This window comes from Homo sapiens, chromosome 8 (genome assembly GCF_000001405.40).
Source record: "Homo sapiens chromosome 8, GRCh38.p14 Primary Assembly".
NCBI lineage: Eukaryota > Metazoa > Chordata > Mammalia > Primates > Hominidae > Homo > Homo sapiens.
The window spans coordinates 78,647,137-78,671,406 of NC_000008.11; the positions used below are offsets into that span (position 1 = coordinate 78,647,137).

The window sequence follows — 24,270 nt, forward strand, 5'->3', positions numbered from 1 at the left end:
GCTGGCCACATTGAGCCTACTACCAGTCCCTGGAACACTCCTATTTTTACTATTCCAAAAAGGTCAGGAAAATGGAGGTTATTGTATGACCTCCATGCTATTAATGCTGTGATGTTTCCTATGGGACCTTTGTAACCAGGATTGCCTTCTCCGGTTATGATCCCCAAAGACTGGCCTCTTATTGTAATTGATCTAAAGGATTGTCTTTTTTTTTTTTTTTCACCATACCCTTGCATCCTGAGGATTGAGACAAATTTGCCTTTACCATTCCCACTTATAATAATCAGCAGCCAGTTGAACGCTATCAATGGACAGTTCTGCCCCAAGGGATGATGAATAGCCCTACTATATGTCAGCTTTACGTACATGAAGCTTTACTTCCTGTGTGTCAATCCTTCCCCCAGGCAAAAATCTTCCACTATATGGATGATATTTTGATAGCTGCTCAGCAACAGTCATTACTGCATCAACTTTATGCAATGGTAGTACAGCATATGTCACAGTATGGTCTTGTTATTGCACAAGAAAAGATTCAGCTGATGGCTCCGTGGCTCTATTTAGGAAGTCTTATTTTGTCTACTACTCTTAGGTCGCAACTTACAAAAATAATTCTCCCACAGCACTTAAGCCTTAATACGTTACAGCAAGTCCTAGGACAGATTAATTGGATACACCCTTATTCAGGCATTCCCACAAATTCTTTGACTAATCTTTTTGACACCTTGAAAGGTGGCCCTGCTTTAAATTTGCTGTGAGACCTCTCTCCACTAGCATAGGCAGAGCTTAACGCTGTGGAGCAAGCTTTGGCCCAACAGTGAGTCTCACATTTAGATTCTGACAGACCTATAGATCTTTTTATCTTTAATACCCTCATAGCCCTACAGGGATGGTTGGGCAAGTTGGAACAGATGTCTCTCCTTTGGAATGGCTTTACCTGTCTCATAACCCTTATAAACATATGCAAAAGACTACAGATTTAATAGCTTCTCTTCTCATAAAGGGACACTGACGTTGTGTCCAATTGTCAGGATATGACCCTGCTACTCTTTTCCTACCTTTAAGCAAGGAACAATTTCATACCCTCTTAGCTTGTGATCTTGATTGCCAAGTCGCAATGGCTTACTTTATTGGTAATATCAGTTTCCATTTACCGGCCTCTAAGCTCCTGAACTTTTTATAAACTGTGCCTGTTAAATTGTATCTATTGTTGCCTCTGAGCCCTGCTTCATGCTACTACTGTCTTCACAGATGCTTCAGGAAAAATGGGAAAGGCAGCTATAGTGTGGCAAGATGCCATGCAAACTGGCAGAAAAAAAATCCACAAAGATTTCACAACTACACAACAGGCAGAGTTAGGTGTCCTAATATTGGCCTTACAAACTTTCTCTCATCAAGACATAAATATAGTGATTCCAATTATGTGATGTATAGTATTATTCATTTAGATCTCCCACATCTGAAAGGTATTACTAATGAACCCCTACTAACCCTATTTCTCAAAGTGTAGACGCTCCTCTCTGCCCATCATCACCCTCTTTACATCACACATATTCACTCTCATTCTGGACTACCTAGTCCCTTATCAGAAGAGAATGCTCGAGCTGATGCTCTGGTACCACCACATATGTCGTTTGCAGACTCTCCTGCATTTTTGCGAGCTCAAGCTGATCATTCCTTTTTTCATCAGAATGCACACAGTCTTAAACAGCAGCTTCTTTGACACTTGCTCAAGCTTGCATGATTATTAAAACTTGTCCTGATTGCCAACAGCATTCTCTCTCCTCTTTTTCATTGGGACTTGGGGCCAACCCACGAGGTCTGGTACCTAATGCTATCTGGCAAACTGATATTACTCAGCATTCACCCTTTGGACGCTTCAAATTTCTCCACGTTACCATGGACACTTATATGAGCCTGACACATGCTACTCCCTGAACTGGAGAAAAAACTAAAGATGCAATTGCTCATCTTTTTAAACTATTATGACCTTGGGTCTTCCACAAACTATGAAAACTGATAATGGTCCTTGCTATCGTAGCACTCGATTTGGATATGCATCGCAATTTTGGCACAAACAACACAAAACTGGTATTCCTTATAACTCAACCGGTCAGACCATTGTTGAACGAGCTCATTGAGCTTTTAAAGTATATCTTATATAAACACAAAGGGGGAATATGGGGCTCTCTCCTCGAGAACAGATAGCAATGGTCTTATTTACTCTCAATATTTTGAATATTGCACAAGATGCCTGGACGGCTATTGATCGTAGGATGAAGCCAGTTGAAGTCACAAAAAGAAAGGTGTTAATTTGAGACATTTGTACAGGGAATTGGGAGAAAGCTTATGAGGCACTGCAGCGGAGTCAAGGTGCTGTTTGTGTTTCACAAACTACAGGATTAGAGTGAATCCCCATAAAATGAGTGAAGCCATATTATTAGTTAGAGACCACCAAACAACCCCCTCCTGATGATAAGGAGCTGTCATTGGAGAATTGACCAACAATGATGATGATGAGTCGGAAGGCACCTGACATTACCTGGGGACAGCTAAAGAAATTGGATCAACAGGCAACTATCCAGTCGCAGCCATGGGAGCCCCTGCAACTGCAGAGAACTGGTTTCTTATGTATCTGGCAGTAATTGGGGAAGCTTCTGAGAAAGTACACGGCTGGTAATTCTTGTTCTTTGCCAGGTGGGCTCAGCTCAAGAACATGTTTATTGGAGTCATGTTCTGAATCCCCCTGTTTTCAATGTTATTACATGGTGGGATGCTGACCCGCCTTTGTCATCTAATGATACTTCTTGGGAGGGAGGTCGATGGATGCCCCTGTCTTACCCCCTCACTGAAAATTTGGGATGGGTCAAACTTAATGACTCCTTGACTTTATTGTCTAGCAATTCTCCTCTCTGTTTTTCCACATTGGCCCAAGATAAGTGTATTACTCTCATTCTTCAGGAGTATCTTTACTATCAGCCTAAAAGGGATGCTAAGCTTGCAAACCTGACTTTTATTTCTGCTGTTACTACTAATCTTACTGAGATTTCTAATGAAAGGATCTTCCTATATGCTGTCCAAGAAGGGACTGTCGATATGTTTGAGGCCATCCAGTGGTCCCCATGCAGATAACCTGCACCACATCAAGGACCTCTGCTCGATAATGCACCTTACTTGATTGGGGTCCCCATGGGTATGTCATGTCTGCAAACCAGACTATTGGATTTGGGAGTCCCTCCAATAGTTCCATTACCCTTCAATAGTTCCATTAGCTGCTCCCCACCCCATTCAGCTGTAATTGTCTGAATACTTATTTCTTGCTGTTCACTGCAGAGTAACCTGCAGCTATTATTAAAAAGTCAAAAAAACAATAAATGCTAGTGAGGTTGTGGAAGAAAAGGAAGACTTTTACACTGCTGATGGGAGTGTAAATAAGTTCAACCATTGTGGAAAGATAGAATGGCGATTCCTCAAAGACCTAAAGGCAGAAATACCATTCAACCCAGCAATCCCATTACTGGGTATACCCCCAAAGGAATATAAATCATTCTATTATAAAGACACATGCACACATATGCTCACTGCAGCACTATTCACAATAGCAAAGACGTGGAATCAACCCAAATGCCCATCAATGATAGACTGGATAAAGAAAATGTGGAACATATACACCATGGAATACTATGTGGCCATTAAAAAGAATGAGGTCATATCCTTTGCAGGGACATGGATGGAACTGGAAGCCAATATTCTTAGCAAACTAATGCAGAAACAGAAAACCAAGTACCACATGTTCGTATTTATAAGTGAGAGGTAACTAAATGATAAGAACACATGGACATATAGAGGGGAACAATGCACACTGGGCACGAGACGAGGGAGAGGATCAGGAAAATAACAAATGGATACTAGGCTTAATACCTGGGTGATGAAAAAAAATCTATGCAACAAATCCCCTTGACACACATTTACCTATGTAACAAACCTGCACATCCTGGACACGTACCCTTGAACTTAAAATAAATGTTAAATTTTTTTTTCTAAATCCTATTAATTTCAATATGATGTTCATATCTAACCAATTTATAGAATCCTCGTTTTCTAAAATTTACAACATGTATTAAACTTTACCACATTAGTCTGTATTCTGTGTTTTAGTCTATTTTATCCTATGTTTACTCTCTGAGTTAGAAAACATGTAATATTAAATGTCATTCAATTTTATATATTACATTCCTACAAATCAGGATACGATTGCCTAGATGACTCTCAGCTGTGTAAGAGTGAACTATTGGACTAAGATGTGGAAAGTTCTGTGACTCACTTGAATATTGTAAATGATCTACATGAAACTATATCTAAAACAACAAAGGAGACATACTTTTTTCATTTTTATCCATATTTTTAAAAATTCAAAGATGTGACTTAATTTAAAATACAACTTTCTAATGATAATGAATGCTAATGATTTCTGAGTTGGCTTTAGTATATGCTTTTAATTTCACTGTGTAATGAGTTTGTTAAAAAACTTGTTATTTAAAATCAAGATTTAATAGTTGTTGTGTATCAAATTATGAAGGCTTCTACTAGAGTCTTCAACTATGTCTTTAACATTTTAGTTTTGAAGTATCATGATCAGAACTTGCATTTTCAGTGTACTATTCTTAAGATGCAGTTTTTACAAATCTACTCTACATACAGATGCTTATGGAAACAGTATTTAGGGAATACAAAAAAAGAGTCTGACTTCCACATTGAAATTACCATGAAGCATCGGGAAGAGACCAAGCATCAGAGGTAAAGTTGATATTTCAGCACTACTGTGTCTTTGGAGTCAGATATGACAAGTTGAATATAAAATCTGTAAACTGCAAAAATATTGTACTTCCCACAGCAGAGTGTTTAATTTAAATAACAACTCTCAAAGAACAGGTTGACCTCATATGCCTAAGAGCCTGGGAAAAAATTCACGACTCTGGTACTACTTATCCTTCTTTTAATTCAGTTCAACAGGGTCCAAGGGAGGCTTATCCAGATTTGATCGCCCATTTGCAAGACACAGCTCAAAAGGCTATTTCGGATTCTCATGCTAGGAATGTGATCATTCAGCTGCTTGCTTATGAAAATGCTAATACAGAATGTCAGGCAGCAATTAGACCTATTAAGGGAGAGGCAGATCAAAATTACACTTATTGGGCATACATTCCATTCCCACCACTGATTAGGCCTGTTACATGGTTAGACCCCCAGGTGGAGGTTAATGTTAATGACAGTGTCTGGATGCCTGGACCAACAGATAACCGAGGTCCTACTCATCCAGAGGAAGAAGGAATGTTAATGAATGTTTCCATTGGTTATTGCTTTCCTCCCATCTGCCTGGGGCTGGCAGCAAGATGTTTAAATTATGATAAACAAAGTTGGATGGTTTATGTCCCTGCAAATAATGGATCAAAAGCCTCTATTCATGCAATCAGTGGAAGAACATTTCAATCTTTGGACACTATTAAATACCTTGAGCATGGCTATGTTATGACACATTGCCAGATTAATAAATTTAAACCTAATAAGAAGCCCTGCCCTAGGAAGGCCACTAAATGGTCTGGAAAGCTAGAGGTGCTAACCTAGGAAGGTTGTATTGCAAATAGTGCTGCTGTACTGCAAAATAATTCCTATGGAATCGTCATTGATTGGACCCCTAGGGGACACTTTGCAGTAAATTGTACTGGACAGCGCAAAGATTGTAGAGGGACTCCTTTTGCAAATGACTCCCCAGATAATGCACCAAAATTATATAGAAGAATTGAAACAAATTATTACCCTATTAAGTGGGAGGAGAATGGTATGGTTCCTCCAAGCCCCAAAATGATTGATCTAATTATAAGTCCAGAACATCCAGAATTGTGGAAATTAATGATGGCTCAAACCCCAATTCGGATTTGGAAAGGAGAATATAAAACAGAGATCCATAGTAAAAAACTTCCATTTGTTGTAGTCATGACCCCTAATCAGACTGTCCCATTGCAGAGTTGTGTTAAACATCCTTTTATGTTGGCAGTGGGAAAAATTAATATCCTACCTGACTCTCAAACCATATCATGCCTCAACTGTCATCTTTTTACCTGCATTAATTCCACCTTTAATAAAGATAATAGCATTTTATTGGTTAAGGCCCAAGAAGGAGTTTGGATACCTGTTTCCCTCAATAGACGTTGGGAGGCCTCTCCCTCCATACGTATTATCACTGAGGTACTAAAAAGGAATACTTAATAGATCAAAGAGATTCATATTTACTTTAATAGCTATGATCATGGGCCTTATAGCTGTCACAGCTACTGCTGCTGCTGCTGGTATTGCTTTGCACTCTTCTATTCAAACTGTGGGCTTTGTGGATAGTTGGCAGAAAAATTCTTCTAAGCTTTGGAATTCCCAAAGCCAAATAGATCAAAAATTGGCAAATCAGATTAATGATCTCCATCAAACAGTAATTTGGATGGGAGATCGGATTATGAGCTTGGAGCATAGAATTCAAATGCAATGTGATGGGAATACTTCTGATTTTTATATTACTCCTAGCTCTTATAATGCCACTGAACACCACTGGGAGATGCTTAGACGTCACGTACAAGGAAAAGAAGATAATTTAATATTAGATATTGATAAACTGAAAAAGCAAGTTTTTGAGGCATCTCAGGCTCATCTCACCCTGTTACCTGGAGCTGATATTCTTGCTGGAGCCGCTGATGGCCTTTCTAATACCAATCCTTTAAAGTGGATTAAAACCATACATGGATCAACAATTGCAAATTTTATTTTGGTTTGTGTCTGTTTATGCTGTTTGTTTTTAGTCTACAGATGCAGACGGTGCCTTGGGAGAGAAGCCAGACACCGTGAACGAGCCATGATAGCAATGGCTGTTATTAATCAAAGAAAATTAATAAAGACAAAAAAGGGGGACATGTCAGAAGGAGAGTTTCTGGGGTGCCAGTTGATTTGGTCTCCCCAGTGTGAGACACCCATGGGAAGCCATGGGTGGCCTCTGAGGAGAAAAGTCTCCTTATTGCCTTCATGTCTTTATGCCCCAAGAGCATAACCACTCAGCAGCATTCCACAGGTTGCTCAGGGAGATAACACTCCCTTGAAGCAGTGTGGTATAATCAAACATCTTGGCTCCTCCTGAAGCCTGCTCCCACCGATTTCAGTCCTGATAAGTTAAAGATCTCAAGTAGTTTAGACACATGCCTTTGCTCAAGGAAATTGACAGAAACCACCACTGCTATACATCTTATCGAATGACTCACGAGTTCTCCTTCACTGATTAATCCTTTTCCTCATCCCTTCCTCCCCCTCCCCTCTGCCCTAAGAACAAAGAGCTTGTAAACCATTAAATTGGGCAGAGCCTGAGAGCTCTGGGCCGTGAGCAAGGCTCTGACACTCTGGTCCCCTGGACCCACATTTTAAATGCTTATTCTGTCTCTTTCTAGCTCCTCTGTCTCTGCCGGACTTGGGGTACACACTGGGTGGTGTGGGGCTGGTTTCCCTAACAATTGTCTTTATTCTATAATTTCCCATATACAAGTAGTTAATTAATTAGTCAGAAAGCACCAAAACATTTAGTTCTTCATAATCTTGCTTGTGGAAATATCTCTTAAAAAAATGACCTTAACAATTCATTTCTAAAAAAGCAACACAAATAAGTTTTTCTTTGTCAAATACATCTCATCTATTACTGAAAATACCATAAATATTTGGCTTTATTTTTCATTTTGTAAGGTTTCTTATTCTTATATATTAACAAACATATATTTTTGTTTCAAACAAACTTCTTTGCCAATTTTGCTATTTCTCCTAGTATAATTGCCATGCTTTTAATCATTCAAACTGGAAAATATGAAGTCATACTGCTTTTCTAATTTGTCTTCAATCCAATCCCAAGTCTCACCATAAATTGCTTTTTTATAAATAAGTTTTAGGGAAAATTTCCTGAAGAATCAGAACACTTCCTAATCTCTGATAAAGAGATCTTATAACTCATTAGTTCTTCTCAATTGAGACAATCTTAAATGTCAGAAAGCATGTAATCACAAGATAACAACTTGTATTTCTCACATAAGTGCTCAGTACAAACTTGTGTAATTAATTTTCCATTTTTTAAACATATTTTTATTATTTTCTGAAAGTAACATTACTATGCCTGCTTTTTTAACCTTTGTTCAGCCTATGATCAGTCCTTTGCTCAAAATGCCTGTCATCATCCTACATAGCCTTCAAGAACAAAAAATACAAAATCCATCTCCTACAGGAAACTATCCTAATTCTAAGACATGTGGACATTTTTGCATGTAACTCTTCTGCCTCTTTTGACCTGAATTTTCATTCTGGCATTATATGTGTTGGTTGCATAAGCATGTATTTTTAAATCATTTTTATATCTTATTACATCATTTAGATTATAAACTACTGTAGTACTTCCATCTTCAGTGCCTGGTTTTGCTCATTAATCCTTCCCTGGTAAAGCAACCCATAATAACCTCTTTAATTAGAATATTTAGTACTTATTTTCTGTAGTCTTCATTTGGCCCTTAATTATATTCAATATGATATTTATTTATTATGTATTATTACCATATTCTTCATACATTCTTGCTCAATTATTTACATTTTAAGTTCCCTGGGAGGAAAAGCTTTTATTATTACAATTCCTAAACTGAACTACGTAATAATTTGTTTACAAAAAGGCACAAAAATACAGCTTGAAGAGCAAAGGGTCAGAAGGTAGAAGATTTGAGTTCCAGTCCTTGGTTTAGCCAACCAACAACTCATTGTTGAATAGTCTTTTAATAAACCTTTCTGAGTCTTTCCAGAGTAAAGTTGTTGTAGGAGAAGATTGTTAAATTTTTTTAAAGATTTTTTGTGTTTTGGAAACGAGGCAATGAGTTTGTCTCTATCTGCAGGGTCCAAATTATCATTATACTAAGAGATAAAGTAGCTACTTCTGAAAATAGGATGGGAATAAAGGAGACATCCAACTAGAAACAGACAGTAGGGTATTTGAATAAGGACACAGGTCATATTAAGGTTGCACATTCTTTCAGAGCATATTCTTGTTTGTGCTTTGTGCTTTCCAGGAATTGGTTGCCTACTTACCTTGGTACGCATTGCAAGCACAGGGTAAGCATTCAGAACTCCTCAGAGAAATAGAGCCAACAGGACATGTATATATAGAAAGAAAGAGTGAGAAATTTATTTTTAAGGAATTGGTTGGCTCATATGACTGTGGAGGCTTGTTAAGTCCAAAATCTGCAGGGTTAGCACATCAGGCTAGAGAACCAGGGAAGCATTGCAGTTTGAGCCTAAAGGCAATCTGCTGATAGAACTTGTTTGTGAACAGAGAGAGGTCAGTTTTTATTTTATTAAGACCTTCAACTGATTGGATGAAGCCCATTTATATTATGGAGGGTAATCTGCTTTATTCAAAGTCTACCAATTTAAACGTCAGTCTTATCCCAAAACACCTCCGCAGAAACATCCTGAATAATGTTTGACCAAATCTCTGGTTACATGACCATGCTATGTCAACACATAAAATTATCCATCATGCATTGATTCTGTCATTGAGGGAAACGAAGTATAACTCAAATGGCTTGCTTTTACTTCAGTTTAAGGACAATTTATCAGTTATGATTTGAAACTCAAGAGAGCTTAAATCCAGGATCTTCCCTTTTGTCATTCTCCACAGACTCAGTGTCCTCAACTAGAAAAAGCAGTTATGTTATGACAAATGGGATCTCAAGTCAGAATATTTATTTTCATTATCCAACCCTGCCACTTACTAACTATAGCTTTGAAAAAGTCACTTGTTCTTAAAGTAAAACCAAGTAATCAATTATATTCATAATTAGCATATGTTTGTAGGGTGAATTCTCATACGGCTTTTTCTATTAAAAGGCAGCTTCAGAAACCACAGGATCTGATTGTTTTAAGAGCCATAAGGTTTTTAAAACCATGAAGAAGTGCCAAGATATTCATGTAAGTGATAATAGGAGAGTTTTTCTTCTTCATCTTTAGTATAAATCCTCTGATGTCATCGTTAACATTACATACTATTTATTTGTAAACCTTAGTTTCTACAACATAAAAATGGAAAGAATAACACCTACTTCACAAGTAGGTTATCACATGAGTCTATATGGGAAATGGTGTGCATAATAACATATTAACCATAACCATTAGGAGCTAAATAAAACCTCTCTGCTTACCTAAATTAGCTGTTTTGAAGACCATACCCATTCACTCATATTTATCCAGTCATTTAGCAAATATTTATTGAATATCATTGACTGAAGTATTAAACTAAGCTTTTAAAAACAATAATGTTCTATGAAAATGCAGAGAATTACTGTCAAAGGTACTGAATAGATAGTTGATGATCTGTTTATTTACTATGAGCTCTTAGACATCTCCAGGGGTAAAATGCAGTCTGTTTACATATTGCCATCAGTATTTTACATTCTTGGTTTCAAGAATGTAATTCAGGAGAGCAGTGAAAGTCAGGGCAAATTTTTTCATCTCAGACCAAAAGTATAGCTGGGCATGGGATCGAATAACATTTAATAGTAGCAGTAGGCCATTCAATTGGTGCTATTATCGCTTTGTAAAGGAGTCTTAGGTCAGTTTTCTCAGAAGCTGACAGGATTCTTGTGGAAGTTATTTATTTAAAAATAGCTCCCTTTGAGTGAGGACAGCAAGTTAGGTCCTGAGGGCAGGAGAAGAAAGGTAAGCAAGAATGTAGTCTTACGTGAAGACCAACTTCAGGCAAGCCTGAATCAATGGAGTCCGCCTGTTAGTCATTGGCTGTGAGCTTCCCATCAGAGAGGAGGGTCTTAACCTCTCAGATATGGCAGTACCCTTTATGAGAAGGGCAAAGTTATAGATCATCAGCCAACATTCTCAATAGTAGGGGTGAACATCCCTTCCAGAACAGGAGATTTTGGAAAGGCAACAACAACCTTCACTTCTGAATGGCCATTAATATTCATAATAACAACAGAGGCACTGCAAAGCTTTAAGAGCTCTCTTACTTTTAGAGAAATTTCAAAGAAGTTTCAAAGAAAAACTGACTGATAACCACGATAGTCTTTTATAACATTCAAACTGTTTGAAAATTAGTGTTCCTTTAAATTATATTTAAATTCATTTTCTATAAATAAATTCATATAAACAATTTGCATATAACTTAAGGAACGCTAATGTTTTTAGATAATATTTTGTACCTAGAATTTATTTTCTTATGAAAGCATAAACTTTACTATGTTTTGAAAACAGAGCCAGAGGAGATTCTTATTTCTGTTTTGTTGATTATCCATTAGCTGCTAAGAAACATAAATGTACATAGGCTTAAAAAACTCTGCCTCTTAGAAACGTCAAGCAGACAATTGTTAGATAGACAATATGCCAGGTGCATACTTTTGATATACACTCTAAGAAATCAATACATAAATGCATAAAATGGTATATTTTCAATGTAAAAAATGCAAGCGAGCAACTTTTCTAGAATGTTATGTTTGCAAACATGGCATTTGTATAAATAGCTAATAACACATAACTTTAATTACATGTGTATCTACAATAAAAACTGGAGATTTTTCTTAAAGTAAAACGAAGTAACCAATTATATTATTAATTAGCATATGTTTATAGGGTGACTTCTCATATTGCTCTTTCCATTAAAAGGCAGCTGCAGAAACCAAATAATCTGGTTGTTTTATTAATACGGTTCTTTAAGAAGAACCATAAGGGTTTTGAAACCAAGAATAAGTGTCAAAATATTTATTTAGGTGATTTGATAATAGGATAATTTTTCTTTGTCTTTAGTATAAATACCCTGACATCATCATCAACATTATATAATATTTGTAATATTTCATAGCATTTTAAAGCAAGTTTTCAAGGCCCTAGGAAGCTGCTATGATTAATAATGAAGTAAGGGGGAAAGGACTTTTGATAGTTTTCTCTTGTTTTGTTGTTTCTTTTCCTCCAAAAGGAAAGATACATCCGAAAACACTTGGCTGTCCTGGAGACAAAAGGCAAAATTGGACAAAGCTGAAGTGCACAACTTCTCAAAACAGTTCTGGGTATTGATACCTATGCAAATTTTTAGAGTTACCCAGCAACACAAAATAAACTAGGAAAAACAGTTTTTGTTGTCTTCTTACCTCTGTATCTAAATCTCTGTTTTACGAGGATTAAGTTTGGCTATAAATGTAGAACAATCCCCCTTACCTCTTCTTTTCTTTCAAAAAAAAATTGCTTAAGATAAAATTATTTCTATCCCTTGTATAAATTTAGAGATTGATGGTCCAGATGCAAGAGATCCATGCTTCCTCAGTCTTTTACCTCTTCTATGAATGGACTCTATTCCCAAAGTCACCTTATGGTCCAAGATGGCTATTCCAGCCTCAGGCATCCTGCCCAAATGCCAGCCAACAGAGGAGAACAAAAAGAAGGAGAATGGCTCACCCTCTCTTTTTTTAAAGATGCTTAAAAATTATGCACATGGAAGTTATGAATTCTTTGTCATCTGGACTTCTTAGCTGCAAGAAAGACTGGGGAGTAGAGTTTTTATTCCACAGCCATATGCTCAGGTATATATCAGTAATACTCTTCTGAGAACAACAGAACAGTTAGTGGCCTCTGCAGATCCACCTATCTCTGTTCTGTGTTCACTACCATTCAGGCCTCCAGTGGATTCATGCTGTGTTCTGGTCTTGTAAATCAGAGCCCTTCTCCCACATCAGTCTATCTGTATCCCTTTTTCCAGGCCTATTGCCAATCTTCTGCTGCAGTGTCAGATGCACCACAAAGCTAGTTACAAGGTAAATGTGTTTCAAATTAAGATATGAATGCCTAAATATGTAGAATCATCCAAGAGGGAATTTTGTCTTTAAAACTAGAAATACATTTTTATCTTTTGCCTATCCATTCCCCACCCAAACTGGTTGTTTTTTTAGAAGGAGTACAATTAATAAAATAGCATTACTACAAATTATCTAGACACCAACCACATTTCCTTGTCAATACCAACCCTCTTTTTTCCACCATCATTAATCATATATACCTATCTTTGGTGAATTCAGCAATACAAAGAATAACAAAACTTGTCACTGGAATGTATCATAAATATTTCAAATGCAGAATTCATTGCTTGTCAATTGTTCTTATTGATTAAACAAAATAGTAGAAAAAAGCTAAAATTTTACAGATGTATTTTCTGATATTAAACTATACTTTCATTCTTGGTATAGATTTTATTTAATAATAATTTGGTTGAATATGGTTTGCTAACATCTTTTTTATGACTTTTGTATATACAATATACAGACAATCCTATAATTTTTCATATATTGCTTTTATATTGCTTGGAGTCAGAATTATGCTAATGTTAAAAAATTAATTATAAGCTTTTATAAGCTTTTCCTCTTTTTAAATTTTATTGAAAATGTGGACACAATATAAATTATCTGTGTCTTAAAGTTTGGTAAAACTCACCTGCAAATCTTTCTCCACCTAGGGCATTAAAGTGAAGAGATGTCTTTACCATTTCAATTTATTAACAGTTTTCATTCTACTCAAGTTTCTTGTCACAATTTTTAATTTTATCCAGAATGATATCCATTTCCTCTGAGTTTTTACATTTATAGAAACAAAGCTGTTCATAATATTTTTGTATTTGTAATTCTGTGACGTCTATATTTACTTTTTCTGTTTAGAGATAGTTTTGGAAAAATGGACTCATTATATGCAGAATACAGTTGATTCCTAACACATATAATATACAAAGGTGACTCCTGATGGGTTGAAAACCTCATTAAGAAAGATAAAAAGGATAGCATTAATACAAAAACATGTGAGCAAATACCATCAATAATCTAGAATCTGAAGAAAACTTTAATTAAAAAATGCACAATTCATAAAGAAAATATATTGACAGATTTTATAGAATTAATGTTATGGGCTTCTGTTCAGTGAAAGGTATCATAGACAAAATTATCAAGTATTTGGCAAACTGGAAAAGATTTTTTAAATAATTGAAATTAGCAGGGGTCAACATCTAGAATACACAAGGAATTTACATATCCATAAGAAAAAGATGAGAATTTCAATATACAAAACCAGGCAATTCATTGAAAGTCAAATCTGAATTAGCGAGTATATGAAGAAAAGACCAACTCTTGATTAAAAAATTAGAGCTAAGTCAGCTATTACTGAGCCATAGAAAGATGAGTGCTCTGCACTGCTGATGGGAATGTACACTGGTATAGCTATTGTAGAGAGAAATCTAGGTGTACTTAGTGGAAGTGAATATGATCCAGTAAACTATTCCAAGGATGCATCTCAGAGAAACTTGAGCCCAGGTTCATAAGGGGACAAGCACAAAGATGTTCATTGTAGCAGCAGTTAGAACCAACTCAGTGCCCATCACTACAGAAATGAGTAAGTAAGATGTGGTGGTGTATGCATACGGTAAAATGCTATTATCCAACATCAGAAGCAATAAACTTGTATTTCATACAGTGGCATGGATGAATCTCTGAATGAATGACAAAAAACATTAAATTCAAAAATTAAATAATGAAAATTACTTAAAAATTAAAATTACAAACAGAATGAAAGTCATAGACTAATGCCATTTATGTAAATTAAAAACAGATGCATATATAAAACAGCACCATATGTGTTTCAAAGAATCACACCTATCCAAAGACATCTATATGTAATAGAATTGTGCCTATAGTGAGGAGGCTGGTAAATTGTGTGAAAATGGGGTATGAATGACAAATAATAAAAAGAAAATAAAAGAGATACCTTGGCATGGATAGTTGAAGTATGTACTGTGTGTTAGTGAGTATCATTAACTCAACACCTTGCCCCTAAGATTAAAAAGATATAAATTATATAGCCATAATGCTTGTGCTGTATAATGTAAAGAGAAACAAATGTTACACATGAACCAAAATAGATACAAATATTTTCCTTGCTTCTTTAGATTGTCCCAAAACATGCCAGGCTTGCATCATTTTCTTAAGGAGGATTATGCCATGTTTCCCTCATCCTCAGTGATCTCTACCTATCCTATGACACTCTTCAAGACACAATTTAAGTTCTACTTCTAAAAAACCTTTAAAATTGTTCCATTCATGTAAATGACTTCCTGTAACCAATTGCTTTTATAAGCTGTACCACAACATCTAAAACTTAATACTATTAACAACTCTTTTGCCCTGTATTATGTCTTGCTCACGGTTTCCTTTACTAGATGTTAACTTTCTAGAGATCAGAGAGATTTCTTTGAAGCTTTCTGTTGTGCCTAGAGCAGTGTTGTACTCAAGGTTGAAAGATCTCAATTTCTTATTGGTCTATGAATGTTATTTTCAGTTAAAAAGATCACATGGCAGGTAAAAAAAATATGCACAGACAAATACTTAAAAACGTAAGAAAAGAAGCTGAGCTTCATTCATTTTGGTAACTGGCTAGTGATATAATAGACTTGAAGCACAGAAGGTACTCAACAAATATTTGTTGAAAGAATGCATCAGAAAAATGGACTAGTCTAGAGAGGACCTCAATAAACATTTTGGTTAATAGATTTTTAGTTAAGATTTGAAATTGTGATGCAAAGGGATGGATAGGCAAGATCATAGCCGAAACTTGAAAAAAAAAACTGATCTTTTTGCAGCTGAAAATTAGTTTGAAAGTAGGGAAGCATAGAGCTAGAATAATTGCTATCACACTATGAATGGAATAGCCTTTCAATCAATGTAGTAGGTAAAGTTTGCTTTAAGTTCCTCACTTTTTTAAAGCCCCTCTTTCTTTTCTTGATGTTTCTTGTCTAGGACATTTTTCCTTCAATAAATCTTCACCCGTGACAGCCTACCTATATGCTTTCTGATTATTCCAGGCCATGAGAAACTATCACTATTTTCCCCCTGAACACTTAGAAAATTTTATTTTTACTTCAAATAAAACTAGCAAGAGCCAACTCAGAATATGCTTCCTCCCTCTAGAACAGTTTTAAGGGAAATATTTTCTTATGTTTTTGATGAAAATTATCATTTTCTTATGATTACCAAATGTATGAATTATTTTTATATGCTAAATTGTGGTAGGTTATTCCTCTTCTGGTCATGGAAGGAAGAAATGTCCTACATAGTGGAGGTGATAAACTGAGTTCTCACCGAGACTCAGAATCTCATTTAGTTGTGCTCTGCAAATGATATGAATGAGAACCAATGGCTTTCTCTAAAAGGGGACTTGAACTTCGTGTGGGATTTAAGAGACTGGAGCTTTGAAACAAGAAGCTATATGCAGCTTGCTCAGCTTTTTGGGATGTGCAGAATAGATGTGGATCTGCTTAAGGGAATGGTGGTTGAAAGCAATATAATGCAAAGTGGAAAGAATCAAGGTATGATGTAATAAAACACAGATACAATATCTATTTCAGTTAAGTACTAGTTTTGTGATCTTGACCAAGTCAGAAACATCTCTGAAAGTTTGTTTTCCTTTTTGTATGATAAGGAGGTCAGAAGATCTCGAATTCTTATTGATCTATAAATGTTATTTTCAGTTAACAAGATCACATGGCAGGTAGAAAAATTATGTACAGGTAAGTGCTTAAAAACATGAGAAGAAGCTGAGTTTCATTCATTTGAGTAACTGGCTAGTGATAAAATGGACTTGAAGCATAGAAGGTACTCAACAAACATTTGTTGAATGAATGCATGCCGAAAAATGGATTAGACTGGAGAGGAAGTAATGTCATGATACAGTGCCAAGACAAGACTCTCAGGCTAGGTATGTAGGCGGCAGAGGAAAGAACTTATTGAAGGCAGATAGGAAGAAGTCCTCTTTACTCAGGGGTCAGAATCAGGGAAAAGCTGCAGGAGCCAGGGTAGCTGTAGCGTAAAAGTTATGAAGAGACCAAAAGCATAAAAGTTATGAAGATACCTGTAGGGAAGACTAGCAATCATGTTTTAGAGAATTAAGATTCACAATAGAAATGCCTACTCAAATATATGTTAAACAACATGTCTGAACGCTTGGGTTTACACTTGAGGCAGCTATAATAAAAGGCAAGGCAAGGAAAGGGAGTGAGGAGCCCAATCAAATCACCATAGGCTTTAGAATTTAACAGACAAGAGTGTAGCCAAGCTCTACCATCCACTAATAATACAAATATTGACAAAATATTAATTGCTCTGAGACATCTAGAAAATGAACATTTTAATTCTGATAAATGAAGATTGTAGTATCTACTTTGTAGATTTCTTTTGAAGATTTGTGAATATATGAAAATGGCCTAAAACATGCCTCACATGATTTATTCTTTAATGCTATTTTTATTATTTTTAATGTTACTGTAGATTTTATGTCGAATAAGGTATCAGCCAACTCAATATTCGTCTTGCCTTCAGTGAAAGAACTTGTAATTTGTAAAATAATGGCTTCCTTATTTTTGTATTTTCTTCTGTGTGCTTTTTTTTCTCCTTAATGCTCTTTTAAAAGGCCTTCCCTCCCAACCAAAAATTCTACCTTTGCCTTAGTAGCACTAAGGAAGAAAAAGGACCTTTCCGCAGCACCCAGTCTAGAGTAGCTTATTGCCTGCAAGGCTATGGGTTGGCCAAGGAGGCCCAGGATCTCAGAGAAGCAGAAGAGCCAGGGGAACCAGGGAAGGGCGGAGGGAGTCATTGAGGCATGGTTGAAGTGGTCTTTACATGGCTCCACACAACAGATGGACTCTACCACATTCAAATGCACTTGGAGCACCTTCTCAGTAAGAGATGATGCCCCCTCAAGTGTTTGCTTGTTTAAACATACCTTCATGTGAGTGGAGAGTAGGAGGAATCCTGCTTCCTGAAGGTAACTGATTTCATAGTAGATGAAGTTAGATATGAAGTTAAACTCTTCAATTAAACAGATTAACAATAACATTAATCCGAGGTTTGTTATGGACAACACATTAATACTGGTAACTTGCCAGTAGATACGCTATAGTCAGCAAACAGTACAGCTTGTTTACGATTGCTAAATCAAATTTTCAAAGAAATGTAGTTCTGGTAATTGTAAGCAAAACCGTTAAAATGGTCTGAGTTAGTTTTGAAGTTACTTTCATCTTCAGGAGGTTTTGAACTCTGTTAGAGACGGGCGGGCCTCATTCTGTCAGGTTGTAGGTTAATTCCCCAACTCAAACTTCCCCGATCAAACATTGTCAGGCCAGGCGACTGTTTTGGTTTATGGATGATAAAGTATAGGGCCAAGGTAGGCCAAGAGTAGAAGACAGAGGGAGGGCTGGGTTTCACTTCTAATTTTTGGCCCAAGCTTTCATGGTGAGGAAACTGTTTTCAAGGGCTTAGAGCAATCGCAGTTCCACAATCGCAGATAGAAAGTATGATTTCTCTGGAAAAAAAGTGTCTTAACCTATGAAGCTGTGTGTGAAGATCAAGTGTAGGGGATACGCTGAGGTCAAGTCATGCGACCAAAGACCGGAAAACGGAGATTGCTGCATGCAAGCGTGCTGGGCGTTTGTTTGGTTTGCTTGCCTGCTTAAAGTATCCACTGGGAGGGATGGCGGCTAGAAGTCAGAGGCATTGACTGATTGAGGAACTGGTGAAGCGGAGCCCATGAGGTGCTGAGGTACTCTAAATAGGAGGATAAGGTATGAGGCAAAACAAGGCTGGAGTCAAACAAAGGCGCCGTTGCATCGCAGATTGCAACCTGAAGCGGCTCCCGGCTCCCTGGAGAGTAACCCGGAGAGACGGACAGGGGTGGCAGCCAGGAGGAGACCGCAGGAACCTCGCCTCCGCCGCGGCCCCGCCCCCACGGATCCCCGCCCCCGCAGTTGCGGAACCAATGGGAGCTCGGAATGTTAGCGGGTGGGAGGTGCGGCTGGGTTGCTACAGCCAGAGCTGGGCGGTGGCGGGCGCTGCTGAAGGAGTCTCGCTGAGCTCGAGGAGGTGGCGCGATGGAGGGACTGGAAGGTGAGGCGATGAAGGGATGAGGGCAGGACGGCTAGAGCGGGCCCGAAACAGCTGGGGACCCTGGACACCAGTAGCAGGAAGGCGAGGGCTGGTTCGGTGCGGCGGACCTCGCCGCGTCCCGCCGCGCCTCCGGAGGCTGGGGCCGAAGGGAACCGGACAGTCCCCGATGCGGTGGAGCTAACGCTACCAGGCTGCCCCGCCTCAGACGGTCTTCAACTGGGCTTTCCCGCCCGGAGCCAGATCCTGCCCCTGGCAAGACGCCTGCACGTCTCTTCCTACCATTTTCTGATCTTGCTTGACTCCTGAGTGCCCTTTTAGTGATCCCAGTCTCTGGCCAGATTTTGTTTTCCTTGTACTGGACTCTCTCCATTATTGTCCACGGCCTTAACACCAACAGGCCACTTTGTGCTGCAGCCCCGGGGTGTGTCTCCAGCCTCGAGCTCCTGACATTCCTTGGCCGATTTCCCTAGGTAACCGGCTTTTTACATTTCGACAGCATCTTCTGTCGGAGGGATGTCAGAGCATCTCCTAAGGAAGTGTCACTGGCCAGCTTTAGAGCCGGTACAATAGATTACCCGGAGGATTTGATGACTTATTCACGGCCGCTGTGTGAGGAAGAGCCTGTATTGGTTCCTTATCTTTGGGTTTATCTTTGTACTGTAACCATGACTCCAGATTTTGCTTTGTTCCCAGTTCTTTCACTTTTTCTCTATTCTGTTTACCCATTTTATCCTGTGTAATGAAAGCATTCACCTAAAAACAAAGGAAGGACAAAAACCACAATAACTAGCATTGGCAACAACAGTTTCAAGATTTTTTAATTTGTTATGATGAAGAACAAACCTTCAGAATTGAAAGATCCTATTGTCTTGATTTAGCTCCTTTCCCCCGTCTCCTAGTTTACACGGATTCAGTTGGAATTAAGAATGAGCAGAAGCTTTTGAGTCTTGTGTATTGTTGCATGCCAGGGAGTAAAATATTCTACATTGTGTGATGAAGTGCAAAGTGGTAGCCGGTAACTTTTTCAGTCACCTATTCACCAAAAAGCAGATGTAATAACATGAGTAGAAGTTTATTTCGTGCTTTTGCTCTGATAAATGATTCTGATAATTTTCCGTTTGTGGACAGCTGCAGTATGCTATGGCCTAATGAAGGTCTTGTTTTTTGCTTATGTGTTTTTGGAAGATAATTCAAGTTTCCATGAAATAAGGAATTGTAATGATAGTACAGTATATTTTACTTTCAAGATACTTTTGTATCTTGGTGGGATTAAAGCATGGGTTATGGAATTCTCATGAGATTATCATATATAATATGATAAGGTTTTATTACATATTATCTATAAAGTGTTTTGAACAGTTTGCAGATTTTTATTATTTTATTCAACATTTGTTATTAAGACAAAGATCATCATCTGATTTTTCACTTATGTATCCTAGGCACCTAAAACAATGTCTGACACAAAGTAGGTACTCAATAAATATTTGTTGTTAAATAAATGTCTATTATGGGCATCTTTTTAGGTTCTAGGTTGCAGCAAAGAATAAAAATGATAAAGCTTTACTCTCATCGAACCTACATTTTAGTGGACCTTACATTTTAACAGTGCTAAGATATTACTATTGAAACCTTACTACGAATGTTTTTAAAATATAATGGAAACCTATTATGACACTCAGTTGCATAGGTGGACAAAGGTAGGATTCTGTATTTATAGGCATATTTTATGGGTCCAGCTTATGATGTTATAGGGCCCAGCTTATGATGTTAATAGTGCTTGCCCTTTACTTTTAGATTTTTTTTTTTTACAAAATAAGATGCTATCATTAACTATAATGTGTTTAATTGTGATAAACTGAGTTGAAATATGTGAAGTTGCCCTAAATTATGTAGGGCAAAACAGTTGAATTCTGGTAATTTCAAGCAGTTCAATCTAATAAAAGCTCTTGAGAATTTTCTGTTGAAGTTAGGATGGTGCCTTTCTCTCCTTCCTCCTTCTCCCCTCTCCCTCCCCTAAGAGATCACACCTTGCAAATATCAAACTCTGAGTCTTAAGGTTACCGTTCATTAATTCATCCATTCTTTCATTCTAGAAACATTGATACAGTGATAGATTAGGTAGTTTCTTACCTCTATTGGAAGTTAAAGTCTAGTACTTTGAAGGTGTTTAATAAATATTATATTGCAGTATCCAGTAAGAAATATTCAAAAGTTTGCTTAATGTGTCAGAGTAATTGCGTAAATATTGTACTCTGGCATTAGACATATGTTTCTAGTTGAAACCAGTTACCAGACATTAATCTTGGCTATAAAACAAGAAAATATATGGACTCTTGAAAATTTCTATTAAAGATAATCTTACTCTTTCTTATAACTTACGTTATTTGCATGTAATCATATACCATTTGTTTTACTTTTGGTCTTCAGGGTCTTTATGCTTCTTGAATAGTCAATAGATGAGGTATTAGGCTCAAACACTATACTTTGAAATGAAATATAAGTTATCTGTTTTTGTAGAATCAATATCTGAGCACTTCTACATTCTGTAGATAGTTATAGCAAAACCTTTTAATTCCTTTTCATCTAATAAAATTTGTGCCCCACAAAATCTATCTAAGGATAATAGAAGTAGTTCTAGACTTGAGAGAGTTCCAATCTCTTATAAGCTTTTTTTATTTGTAAAATGGAGAGATGGTAAAATCTAAGCAGATTTTATCCTTATATACAGTATTGTCATTCCCTTCATATCCCTGATAAATGGTTATAAAAATTGTGGCAGAGATCAGACTGTCCGTTCCTCTTGTGGATTGTTGAAATTATTAGATCTTAGTACTGCCCTCTAAAACTTGATTAGAAGACTGATTGCTCTTCAGTGTAGCCCTTGGTTTAAAGATAGTCGTGTCTCATCAAAATTTCTGTTTTGTTTTATTTTTTCGTAGTATAAATGTATACTAGTTTACTGTATAATTCTTTATCTTTATTAATTTATCTAGCATTTACTGCTTTTTGGTAGTGAGTTGGATGCCAGATATTTTAATAGACAGTATATTGGAGAGGACTGTGTTTGAATCCTTGCTTTGTTTCTTTTTAGCTCTATGATTTGGGCAGTTTACTTAATCTGAACCCTTATTTTCCCTGCTATGAAAAAAATGGAGCTATTAAATATGTAACTACCTAAATTATATTAAGTATTAAATAATGTAATATATGTAAAACATTTAGCTAAGTACCTAGTGCATAGGAGGCCCTCTCAGTGTGTGTTTGTTAGATGGCGAAAATCACAAAAAGCATGTTAGCAGGTCCAGTATAGGTAAAACATAGCATGCTTGGGAGGAGCGAAGGAAACATTGAAGCCAAGAGAGAAAGGACTTTAAAGGTGAAAGAGATTTGTCAGCAGTGGCTCAGACTGTAGAAAGGCCCAGTAGGATGGGGATTCAAAAGAGAGCTTCAGATTTGACAATTAGTAAATAGTAATCCGTTACCTTCCTTTTTAATGTCATTATTGTGTCCTTATTAAACAAACTTTCCCTGATTATCCATACTTCTCCAAGACAGCATTATGACCATCTCTTCTCCCCTTACTTTGTTCTACCTTCATTGTGGTTATCACCATGTAACATTTTATATATTAGTTTTTATTCATTTTTTCCCTGTTAGATCAGTGAAAGCTCTATAAGATCAGAGTATTTGTTTTTTATCATCCTTATACTCCTACCTCCTAGAACAGTTTCTGCCTCATGCTAGGTGCTCAACAAATACTTATTGAATCAAGGAATGAATGTATTTCTTTCTTTCTTTCTTTCTTTCTTTTTTTTTTTTTGATACGGAGTTTCGCTTTTGTTGCCCAGGCTGGAGTGCAGTGGCATGATCTGGGCTCACCACAACCTCCGCCTTCTGGGTTCAAGCGATTCTCCTCCCTCAGCCTCCGGAGTAGCTGGGATTACAGGCATGTGCCACCAAGCCTAGTTAATTTTGTATTTTTAGTAGAGATGGGGTTTCTGCATGTTGGTCAGGCTGATCTCGAACTCCTGACCTCAGGTGGTCTGCCTGCCTCGACGTCCCAAAGTGCTGGGATTACAGGTGTGAGCCAACGCACTCGGCGGAATGGATGTATTTCAATATAGTGCTTGGCCTGATAATGTCTCCCTGCAGTTCAGACAGTGAGTGAATGAGAGGCAGAGAAGGACTAAGCAGAAAATGTAAGTTAGTGTTTCAAAAAATGTGCTCATCAGGACATTGGTGGAGAACATTGGTTTTGGGAGTACAAAGGATTTCTGATAAAATAAATTTGGGCAAATAACAACATACTAAGCTTCTTTTTTTAAGACTAAGGGAGTTCTGCTCTAAGAGAACCCATTTAACTTAGGTTAATGTACCATTTTCCAAACATTTGGCCATGTAGCAAGGGATTCGTGGATAATTCCTAGTATAAATGATGGGTCATGTTCAGACTGGGTAGGAAAGGACATGCAGCCAGGAATGAACTTATTAAGAAAAGCAAGTCACTCTGAGATCAAGATAGTAACTTAGAGAAAGGTAGGAGGTAGAATTCTATGGTTAAAGAGGAAACTTGAGTGTTTTAAAGTCCAGAGTTGGTTGTTTTGGCAGTAGTTTTGCTGAACTAGAGTGTAGGTGACTAAAATGCTGTGAAGGATGAAGGTTGTGTGTTGAGTCGGGTAGGCATTGACTAGGTTAAGACAAAAACTCTTCTAGGATGAGCTGAAAAGGGTAAATCTTCTGAGACACTGGATAATATTGATCTGAAAGTAATTCGATTTTGGAAAGGATATTGGGAAGAAAGTGATATAACATATTTAGTGCTTCAGAAGAAAGATTTGTTGAGTGTTAAAGGAGTCAAATGAACGGTGATAGAATATAAGACTTACCAGCAGTGAGGAGATGGACATGCCACAAGGGAGGCCAGAACTGTTCTTAATTTCCAAGATTTCTTTGAAAATGTTCTCTCATAGTTCTTAAATGTATGCATTTTAAAATGTCACAACTATTTGAAATAAAATCTTTATTTCTCATCACTTATAGTGTTAGATAAAGATACCATTTCAAGTCTTACCATCATGCAGGTTTTGAAGTTGCAAAACATAAGCAACTCATAACAGAATCAACAGTGTGTGCCAGATAGATTTTGTAAGGAGAGATTGGCTTCTTAAAAGTTCTAGAATATTAAAGTACTTTATTGACTTGGTTGTATCCATCACCTTGAGTGCTTATTTCAACAGTATTT

At 37.1% G+C, this 24,270-nt stretch overlaps 1 protein-coding gene and 1 long non-coding RNA gene across 5 annotated transcripts in view, besides 5 other annotated features; one reads left to right on the top strand and one right to left on the bottom strand.

The window, feature by feature from the left end:
• The window catches only part of LOC105375911 (uncharacterized), a 268,808-nt gene extending 249,965 nt beyond the window's left edge, over nt 1-18,843 (bottom strand). Inside the window, exon 1 of the long non-coding RNA XR_007060972.1 lies at nt 17,869-18,843. This is a non-coding gene — a long non-coding RNA (uncharacterized LOC105375911). The remainder of the gene's footprint in view (nt 1-17,868) is intronic.
• Nucleotides 18,076-18,584: an enhancer, noted in NCBI's record as "H3K27ac hESC enhancer chr8:79577447-79577955 (GRCh37/hg19 assembly coordinates)". NCBI's record gives its function as "activates a minimal SCP1, AML or CMV promoter by ChIP-STARR-seq in naive H9 embryonic stem cells {active_cell/tissue: H9 hESC(naive)}" and the evidence as "EXISTENCE:reporter gene assay evidence [ECO:0000049][PMID:30033119]".
• Nucleotides 18,585-19,092: an enhancer, noted in NCBI's record as "H3K27ac hESC enhancer chr8:79577956-79578463 (GRCh37/hg19 assembly coordinates)". NCBI's record gives its function as "activates a minimal SCP1, AML or CMV promoter by ChIP-STARR-seq in naive H9 embryonic stem cells {active_cell/tissue: H9 hESC(naive)}" and the evidence as "EXISTENCE:reporter gene assay evidence [ECO:0000049][PMID:30033119]".
• Nucleotides 18,585-19,106: a biological region, named in NCBI's record as "H3K27ac hESC enhancer GRCh37_chr8:79577956-79578463".
• Nucleotides 18,767-18,986: a silencer, noted in NCBI's record as "silent region_19309". NCBI's record gives its function as "represses an Ori minimal core promoter by ATAC-STARR-seq in GM12878 lymphoblastoid cells {active_cell/tissue: GM12878}" and the evidence as "EXISTENCE:reporter gene assay evidence [ECO:0000049][PMID:35858748]".
• ZC2HC1A (zinc finger C2HC-type containing 1A) overlaps nt 18,953-24,270 on the top strand; it is a 53,677-nt gene continuing 48,359 nt past the window's right edge. For all 4 annotated transcript variants that reach the window (NR_156423.2, NM_001362969.2, NM_016010.3 and 1 more), the window contains exon 1: nt 18,953-19,028. Coding sequence is in view for 3 of the 4 variants with exons in the window: in NM_001362969.2 (NP_001349898.1) it covers nt 19,013-19,028 (16 nt within the window). In the remaining variant the exon portion in view is untranslated. The remainder of the gene's footprint in view (nt 19,029-24,270) is intronic.
• Nucleotides 19,057-19,106: an enhancer, noted in NCBI's record as "active region_27546". NCBI's record gives its function as "activates an Ori minimal core promoter by ATAC-STARR-seq in GM12878 lymphoblastoid cells {active_cell/tissue: GM12878}" and the evidence as "EXISTENCE:reporter gene assay evidence [ECO:0000049][PMID:35858748]".